The sequence below is a fragment of the Homo sapiens genome, chromosome 11, assembly GCF_000001405.40.
Source record: "Homo sapiens chromosome 11, GRCh38.p14 Primary Assembly".
Lineage (NCBI taxonomy): Eukaryota > Metazoa > Chordata > Mammalia > Primates > Hominidae > Homo > Homo sapiens.
In genome coordinates, this window is record NC_000011.10 from 28,710,087 (window position 1) to 28,720,499 (window position 10,413).

The window sequence follows — 10,413 nt, forward strand, 5'->3', positions numbered from 1 at the left end:
AAGGCCTTGCCTTCCTGAAGCTTATGTTTTGTAAGGGATTCAGATAATAAATGAATCAATAAGTAAATGTGGATTAGGTGATAGCTTCATCAGGATCATCTAGGTTGTGCTGCAGTAAAAAAAACCAACCCCAAATATCAGTGGCTAAACCCACTAGAATTTTACTTCTCACTCATGCTGTATGTTCCATGCAGGTTAGCAGAGAGGATCTGAAATTCAGTTACATAGGGATTCAGGATAGAGGCTTCATTTTCCCCCATGCATTTTGATCCCCAAAAAGATGGTGAGCTGTGGACTGGCCCTTAAAGCCAGAACACACATACATTTCATTGGCAAAAGCTAGTCGCATGTTTGTGCCTCATGTCAGCTTGGGTAAGGAAGTACAATGCTGCTACATGTTTGGAAGGAACATACAATAGCCCTGAGGGTGATCACATACAGTGATAGGAGGCCTGGAAGAGAAATTAAGGAGTATAACAGGGAATAGGGAGCACTGAGAGAGAGAATGCTCTTTAATAGTGAGCAGTCAGTGAGGGCCTTAATGATAAAGTGACATTTCAGTGGTGATACGAGGAGGCAAAGGGGTAGGTCTTGCAGTTATCTGAAGGAAGAGTACTCTAGTCCGAGAAGACAGCCAGAGTAAAGGTATGGTTATTTTTGTCATGTTTGAACATCAACAAGAAGGTCTGGGTGATTGAAATGGAGGAAGCAAGGGAGAGAAGGTCAAAGAGAGAGAGATGGAGTTGGATAAGGTAGAGCCTACAAGGTCACTGTGAGGACTTTGGCTTTTGGGCTGAGTGGGATTGGCGGGCTTTAGGCATTTTGAAAGGAGAGATGTGGTCTGACTTATATGTTTATAGTATCTCTGGCTGCTGTGTGAGGAAGGAGGTGATTGAGTTGTGCAGCCCAGCTGAGAGATGATGCTGGCTCCGATCAGAATTGTTGTGATGGAAGTGGTGGGAAAGGGTGAGATGATTGATATATATTTTGAAAGTGGAATCAAGAGGATTTGCTCACAGACCAGACGTGGGGTGTGAAAGAAAGAGAGAAAGGAGTCAGGGGCAAATCTAAAGTTTTTAATCAGAGAAATTGTAAAGATAAAGCTATAATTTTTAAAAGGTGGAAACTTTGAGATGAGCACTTAAATAGTTGTCATAAGTACCACAATTCTTCAGTCTTTACAGTAGCTCTATTAAGAACATCTTACTAGCCTTATTTTTAAAACTGCAAAGTTGATACCTAGTAATGTTAGGTGGCTTATCCAGGGAAATAGTTCAGATTATAAATTCCTAACTTTGAAATTAGATACACTGATAATTACAAAGCATATTCCTTCTATTCTTCTGGTTTGGTGATTAACCAGATCCTGATACATTTTTAAGTTTTATATCATATATGCCAAATTGCTTTAATAATGAGTAAAACTCCCAATGTGGAATTTTTGAAGTTCTTCTTTGATGGGTGATCTAAAAGACAAATTTTCAAGTTCTTCTTTAGTGGTTGATGTAAAACCACGCGCATGAACCACTGCACCCAACCTGTTCTAGATTTTCTATTTCAACTCCTGCAGACATTGTGAGTGAAGACATTTCCTCAAAAAACTTCAATTACTCAGTCATTAAATACACATTGATTCAGTTCCTTATTTGTGGTGAACATGACTTAGATGCCTGGGATATGGAGGCAGTTAGGATGAATTGACCTCCAAAACCTTAAAGACTGGTGAGAAAGACGAAAAATAAATTATTAATTACACTGCAAGATGCTAACTGCTGAGCAAAGGTCCTGTGAGAACCGGAAGAAGAGATACCAGACCCTCTCTGGAGAAGTCATTTTGGAAGGATTGGTAAAAAGAGATGGCCCTCATCCGACATTTGAATAATAACAGGACTTCATTAAAGTTAATGGAGGTTGGGGGGAAAACACATTTTAGAGAAAGAGAAGGCATTTGCAAGTCAATGAAGTTATAAAGCAGAATGAGAAACTCTGGGATGCGAAGAGTTGGTTAGACTGGAGGAGGTACATTGGGAGGCCTAGAAGGGAGGATTGCTTGAGGCCAGGTGTTTGAGACCAGCTGGAGTATCAAAGTGAGACCCCATATCTTAAAAATAAAAAATGAAATTAGCCAGGTATGGTGGCAGGCACCTCTTGTCCCAGGCGTGGGAGGCTGAAGTGGGAGGATCACTTGAGCCCAGGAGTTCTTGGCTGCAGTGTGCTGTGATCATGCCACTGTGCTCCAGCCTGGGTGACAGAACAAAACCCCGTCTCATAAAAGAGATGGAAATCTAGATCAGAAATAGCAAATGCATTTCATTCCCTATGCTAAATGTGGCCAGTTGATAGTATCAGTCTCTTGGGTGTCAAAAGGCGTTCTGAGACTCTTTCTGCACTTGGAAGAAACAGGCATGGTTATGACACCTGTAATGGATATGAGAGAGGAGAGTGAATGCATTCATTTTAAGTTATTTGATTTTCTTGACTAGAATATTGGGCTAAATTCATGTAACTCTAAGGATTTGTATAGAAAGCTTATTTTCTAATTAAATGCCTACTACCAACTTATTTATATACACAGTTGCTACTGTGATTCACCTGAGGACCTATTGCCAGTTTCATTGCTAAGCAAGTCTTTCTGCTTGGTTTGTAATCTCTTGAAAGACAGTATTTCTAAAGAAAACACAAACTGAGCTGTTGTTTGGACGTAAGTCCAAGGTCCCTTAAATAGTGGCAGGCACACCTGGAAATTTATTTAATATTGTTTTAGGTCCTCACTGTGCTTTTGGAAGCCCATTTAGAAGACTTCGTGGGGAACATGGAGATTCATCTTCAGTGGTTTCAAACTTTTTATGGTGTGCAAGAATATAAAATGAAGGAAAAAGCCAGTAAGGCAGGCAATTTTTAAAATTATGCCAACCATCTCCTGTTAGTGTTACGCCACTATGACTTCTTCTTCTAAAAAGCTAACTGTGCAAAACCTAGTTAAAATAGTTACCATTTTATCAAACACTTTCTAGTGCCAGGCACTGTGCTGTGCTATGTATATGTGTGTGTGTGTGTGTATTTATATACCTCAAGTACATAGTTATATGTACAAATTCTATTGATATACTTAATCAGTATAAGGTTGTTAGCCAACTTATTTTAAGAAAGACTTTCCTTTATTCTGAGATTGTGTCACTCACATTTTTATTTCTTGGTGTTAAAATGCCTTTTCTTTTACTAAGTGAAGATAGAAAATAGTAGAGTTGTTGTTGTTGTTTAATGCCCTTACTTGGCAAAATGAAAAATAGGAAATCCTGTAGTTTCCTCCTCTACTATCCCAGGAGCCTTCTTCCTTTTATCATCATCATCACCACCACTTTAAATCTGACTTGACCATGAATACTGTATGTGCAGTTGAACAAAGACATTTTCAACTAATCAGTGAGATTGGGCACCTTTGGGCTTTTTCATCACTTTTTCTGTTAACCAGCATGGGTCAGTGTATTGGATTCAGATTTTCAGAAATTATTTCCTGTCTTTTGAAGAACACACAAAAAAAATGAGTTTTAAAAGTAATTAACATATCAGGAGAGCTCATATGAGGAGGAGACCTTTGCCTATAGCTCTCTAGACCTTAGCCTGAGCCTGTAATTCAGGGTCACTGGGGGCTCTAGGGCACAGAAATTGTGTGAAACATTTCCAAACATAAATTATAAAATTATTTTGATGGGCTCCTCATTATCTCATGACTTCGCCTGACACCTAAATGGAATCCTGTGATTCTTTACTGTGTTGGGAAGTTAATGTGGGAAAAAATGAAAGACAGTCAATAAAGGAGCTTTAATAACAGGATTTGTAAGACCTCTAGTGCCAGGTAGATAATGATGTCACCTCCATGTTGGAACTAACTGAAAATCAAATGTAGTCTCTTGGCCTTCCATTCCAGACATCTGTGTAAACATTGGGTACGTTTGTATGTTTGGTCATAGATTTAACACAAAGAAATAGAATTAATATCAACAGTATTGTAAACGAAAGCCTTTTATGTGGATACTCATAAAGTAAATGCTTTTTAAAATAAGCATTGTGTTTATTTAAATGGAAGCCTCAATATGAGCTGTTCCCAGACTCTTTACAGATAAAAATTATTCATCAAATCATAGTTTCATTGTTTGTTTTCCAAGCTGTTGTGAAAACTTTACAGAACTTTTGTACTTAAAATAATTCCCAAACTCTGCAATGCCTCAAGTTCCTAAACTCTTTATTTATTTCTGCTGTCAGTTAACAAATGATTTTGTTCTTCAGATGTAGAATCTAATTGAGCATGGTGATATCTCTGTTGCTTCAATATATTAGAACAGTGTGTCTCAACTTTTTGTTTACATTCTTAAAAATTATTGAAGACCCCCAAAGAGCTTTTGTTATGTGGGTCATATGCACTGGTACAGTCTATATTAGAAATTAGGACTAAGAAATAAAAAACATATATTAATTAAAAAATTACAATAATAAACTCATATGTTAACATTAATAACATTTTTAAATGATATATAGATATATTCTCCGAAACAAAAAATATTAATGTCTGGCTGAATCGAAGACAACTGGGTTGTTATATCTGCTTCCACACTCAATCTATGGTAATATGTGGTTTTGATTGCATTATGGGAAGAAAATGCTGCATCATGTAGATATGTGGTCTGAAAAGGGAGTACTTTAAGAGACTTTTTAAATCATTGAGGATATTCTTGCCTAACACCTGATGTTATTTTTAAGCTCAGCTTGTGCTGTGTTATTCTCCTGATACATTAGTACTACAACTGGTTTTAAATCTATGATTATATACTATGATTTACATATAAGATTGAGGATGTTCTTTCTTGATACTATATCAAAACTTGACAGGTGGTACTTTGTATATTAAAATTTATTGGCATATATTTTAGTGAATCCTTTATCCGTGCATAACTCTGTAGCATCATTCAATGGTCATTTGGAAAATATTAGTTCACTGAGTTATGTAGCTAGCTCTTCTAAATGTTGACTGAGTCCATTACACAACATAAAAATTACATCTCTGAATGTTACCATTTATTTCAACAGAAAAGTCTTTAAGCTTTGGGAAATTGACAAACTCACAGTGGTGGTTGCAACTTTTCTAAAATTTGAATATTTGCTTGCAAGATGAAAAGTTATTAACTGACAACAAATTCTACCGGTGGTTTTCTTTGAAGTGAAATGCTTGCTTCATTTACTGTTGAGAAACATGTCTGCCAGATACCCAAGTCTGAATAATCACAATTTGTCAGTCATTCTTTTAGGTAAAAATAATGTTCCATGGGGAAAAAAAAGCTGCTAATTCAGCTTGCATCATAATTATGCACATTTTTTAAGACAACTTTAGTATTTGACAGGAGAGCTTTATGCATACTTTTCATTTTATCACACAAAATATTAAAAATACATATTCAAAATATACATTAATCTCTTAGTGAGATTTAATAAGATTGACAAATTTTACTGCTCCATCAAGGACATTAATAAGTAAAACTGGCTTTCTTTTTGTGTGTTCATTTAGTGAAGAATATAATGACTACTGGTACAGATTAGTGTCATGTTAAAGTGCAAACAGTTTTACTCACCGTTACTTTTTCACCAGCCACGCAAATGTCAACACAATGAAAGTGTAAACAACATCATAGTATTGTTATGAAAATCTTTTTGACCTTGTGCCTGAAAAGTTCTTAAGCACCTCTGTGGGTTCTCAGACCATTCTTTGAGAAAATCCATTTCTAAGGCATGACTAACTCTAGGCTAATTACCCACCCTCTCTCACTGCCGGTGCCACTATGCCCCCGTCCACCAGCACTCTTGACAGATCAAGAGGCACAGTATCTTAAATGGGATCCCTGGGGTAAATACTACCTTTTAAACCCTTATTTATGAACATTTCCTGATTTCAAAATATATTTCCTGTGTATCTCACTCTGAGGGATGCATCTCCCCGGGAAGTATCTGGGCATCCTGACATAAGATCTCATGTAACATCTTTCTTTTTGACTGCTATATTCATCACTGATAAACTTTATATGTCATGATCATAAAGGTAAGCATCTGTCAAAAATTTTTTAGATGGGAATGAATCTCTAATGAAAACAGGTCTAATATCAATGTTAAAATATAATTTTCAATAAGTTAAAAACATGGCTTTCATACAAATACATAGTGAGCATGTGCCAAATATTTACTTAGTTCATTAAGAAGAAAACCTGCATAATGATAGACCTAGTTCAAAAGAGAAAATGAGAAAAAAAATCACATAAATATATGTATATATAGAGAGAGGGAGATGGAGAGAAAGAGAGAGAGAGAGAAGAAAAACCAATGCCAAAATAAGGCTGCAGAATTAGATTCAACACTGATTGATGTTCTGCAGTAGAATAAAATCTTAACCTTTGGAGTTATATTTTCTATGGGACAGAAATTATTTGCACTTCTACTAGATAAAAATAATTTGTAGCTTATCCATCTTCTGCAAGTTAAGATCTAGCTTTACCAAGTCCAGGCCCTAATGAAGATGATTGCAAAGTCAAATACGGCTGCCTTTCCCTAAAGCAAAGAGTGACCCCAATGTGGGCTTTTTCAACAATGGCCCTGTAGGGCTTTGAAAGAGAATGCTATAATCTTTTTGCCTTATCTCCAAGTTTTGGGTTGTTTTTCTTAAATTAGTTGAAAACAACAACAACAACAACAATGACAACAAAAACTGTGGCAAAGGATACTTGGGGGTAAGATTTCCCCAGGCTCTTAAAATGATGCAATGTATCAAGTGTGGAATATTTATTAAATATTTATTTAATATCTACTTGGAACATCTACTTTGTAACAACAAGCATTATATAAAGAGATTTCAAGCCGCATAAATATATATACATACTATGTACCCACAAAACATTTTAAAAATAATTTTTAAAAATTAAAAAAAATTTTCATGCATTATTATTTTATCTTCACAAAACTTCATGAGGTAATGTTTTACAGAGGAAGGAACAGAAACAGAGAAGTTAGTAAGTTGCATAAAGTAATTCAACCAGTAGATAGTACAGCAAAAATTCAGCTACAATGTCTAACTTTAAACAAACATAGTACACTGCTACCTAAATTGCTTTGCTCACTTCAGATTACATGTTCTCGTTGTAGGGGATGATTTTTGCAAATATCACTTTTTTGTCTCTGGCAAGCAAACTTCATTCATTTTATAAAACTTTTTTTCTGATTTAAAAATATTATAAGATCATTATAGAGGATGTGACAAATAAAAAGAAAAATTAAACTCTCAAAATTCCACTACCCAGACACAAATCCAGTTAACATTTTGATGTGTTTCCTTGCAATTCTTATTAATGTCCAAGTTTGTGCATATATGTTGCAAATTGTACTGTGATCTATAAGCACCATTTTAATTTTAATATAATATTGCATAGATAAACTATAGTGTATTTGATAGATCCCCTATTATTGGGCATATAGGTTTTTTCAGTACTTAATAGTATAAATAATGTGATGGACATCTTTTAATAAATGTATCATTTAGTCTGCCTGTAAACTCAAGGAATAGGTACTATGATTATCTGTAGTTCTTAGTTGAGGATATAAGTGACTTACACAAGGACATAGCTGGCAAAGGCAGAGCTGGGATGAGCGCTTAGAAATTTTTAACCACTGCTGGAGCAGGAACCTGAGTTTAGATTTTTTTTCTCCCTCCACATTGCTTTCCAGGGGCTCAGACTCAGAAGCTGTGGGACTGTCTGATATTCACTATGACGTCTACACACACATTTAGAGTTGCGTTTGTTGCCATGATCTGCAAGACTTTGCTTTCCTGAGACAAAATTCATTCCCTGCTTCCTTACACAGGATAAGTCAGCATCTATTTTGCTCTTCTAAGGCAATAAAACATGCCCTGGGATGTGGTACCTCATAAATATGCATGCCATAGGCCGCCATTCACAATCCACAGGTGTGTCTTAGCAGATTATTAATACTTCTCCACAGACACAAAGCTTCAGTCTGCCCAGTGCTAATAAAACTCTCTCCTTGAGTAGAAGGGTTTGTTTGTTTATTAGATCAAAAGAAAAATTATCTTCAGTTTTGACATATACAACATATGGAATTATACAGCATTACAAGGCAAAACAAGAACTCAACCACAGCTGCTAACACACCAAATTCCACCAAATATTCTAGATTTGGGGAGTGTTCAAAACTCCTTTTTAGTGCAAATAAGATGTTAAAATTAACATTATCAGAGAGCTTGTAAATTTCAAATAATATTTTGTACCCGGGAAATGGCGAGAAGAGATAATCTATTTCCTAAGCCTAACATACCCTTTAATAATGGAAATAAATTTGTTTTCCTGAGCAAAGAGGGTTTTCTTTTTACTGTTTAGAGCATTGGAATATGTAGTTTCAAATCTCTGGGCCACCTTCTGAAATTATATTTCCTAAGCTTTGGTCAATTTGACTCATTCTTGTTGGTTTATGTTTTTGAAAATATTTTGATGGGATTATTAGTGTTGAGTGGGTTACTGAAAAAGGTAAACAAAGATATGTTTGAGAAGATCTAAGGTGTCTGATTTGAAAGATATACTGAAGTCAGAAAGGGTCTTTTTAACAGTCTGGATATATGTGATATTCTGCTTATTAAAAGCACAAACAAACAAAATGCAAAAACCAATTGTCATCCAACAACAAACTATTTTTCCAGCCAACCCTCAATACAAATGTTCATTATTTTGAAAGTGTTCTTCTTGTGGAAGCAATAGAAATTTTGACACAATTAGTGGTGCACTCTGACATCCATCCACAAGCAACTCGTAATTTCCCAAAGTATTTTCAGCTGTTTATGGCAATTTGTATCTGGCCAAGTGTAAAAGGAAATCTTACATTTTGCCCTGCGTTTTGGGGAGCTATCAAAGACAGAAAAAAATTACATATATATTTCTCAATGTACTTCTGAAGCTGCCTTCCAAATCAATGCAAAGAGGAAAAATATTATGGCTCTTATGTTAGAAAATAGCAAATTCCTTAGTGAACTTGATGCATTCTTGCAATGACCAGCACCTCCCTGTACTAGGGCAGAAAAGCTGCTTCCTAAGAGGTGAGTGTCAGGATCTCCAATGGGTCCTGGTTTATTTAGTCACTAAACTGTGGGATGAACTGCTGGGAAGTTAGAAAACTAGGACTGGGAGCAAGAATGGGCAGATGTTCCTCTGGTTTGATTTCCTAGGCCTTGGGCCTGTGAAGAAACACAGAACAAAACAAAATAAAAACAAAGCAACAAATTCTCCTGACTCTTCTCCCTAAAGTTTGACTTGGGCCACATTGATTCTGGGCTCCTCAAAACCAGAACGTAACAGCAAAACGTGGTAACATCTCTGTACCTAAGCAATTCAAAGAATTAAAAAGGAGAGCATAGTTAACTCCTCTAAAGGAGCATCTGCTCCCAGAGAGTATAAACATTCTTCTTTTTGATTTACCATTTCCCAAACATTATCTGAGGTTTGTAGTCCAATCCCTCACCTTTTCATGTTAGTAAACAAACACAGATTCCCTCAAGGAACAAAGCCCTTTCAATCCCTCCAATTTAGAGACTAGGATCACATGGCAATATGTAGACCTTGGACAATATTGCTGAGAAGCCTATTTTATTTGGGAGAGAAAGAGGAGGAAGTTACGGGACTTTGCACATCCTCAGCTGTCTGCATCTCACTGAGTAATGCCTCCTTTCCTTCTATGGACTGTGACTCCAGTTGGTTTCTACGTTGCAAAGAGCTTTATGCTTTTTCCATAGACAGTAAGGAGACCTGAGGACCAGTCCTAGCTTTATCACTTTCTAGCTGTGTGTCTTTGGTTGGGAAAGGCCTTTTTCAACCTTAGCCCTCAGTTGATCTTCTTGTAGAACAAGGAGTTCAGATGAAACCGTCTTTGTAGTTCTTTCCGGATCTAGTATTCCATAATGAGTAGCACTACCTTGTTCTGCATTTCTCCCTACCTTCCCGCTTTCTGCTAGGTCACTGAGGCTGCATATTGGAGAGCCAGGAATTGAATCCTGGCTCTTCAGGTTGCCAGAGTTGTACCTCAACAATTCACTTGTTCTCTCCCTAAGCCTGTTTCCTTGTTTATTTTATTTTGTATTAATTTATTATTATTGAGGCAGGGTCTTGCTTTGTCACATAGGCCAGAGTGCAGTGGCACAAACATGGCTCACTGCCACCTTGGCCTCCCAAGCTCAAGTGATCCTCCCAAGTCAGCCTTCCAAGTCACTGAGACTATAGGCATGCCACCATGCCTGGCTAATTTTTTTATTTTTTTTGTAGAGATGGGGTTTCACCATGTTGCTGAGACTGGTCTCAAACTCCTGGCCTCAAG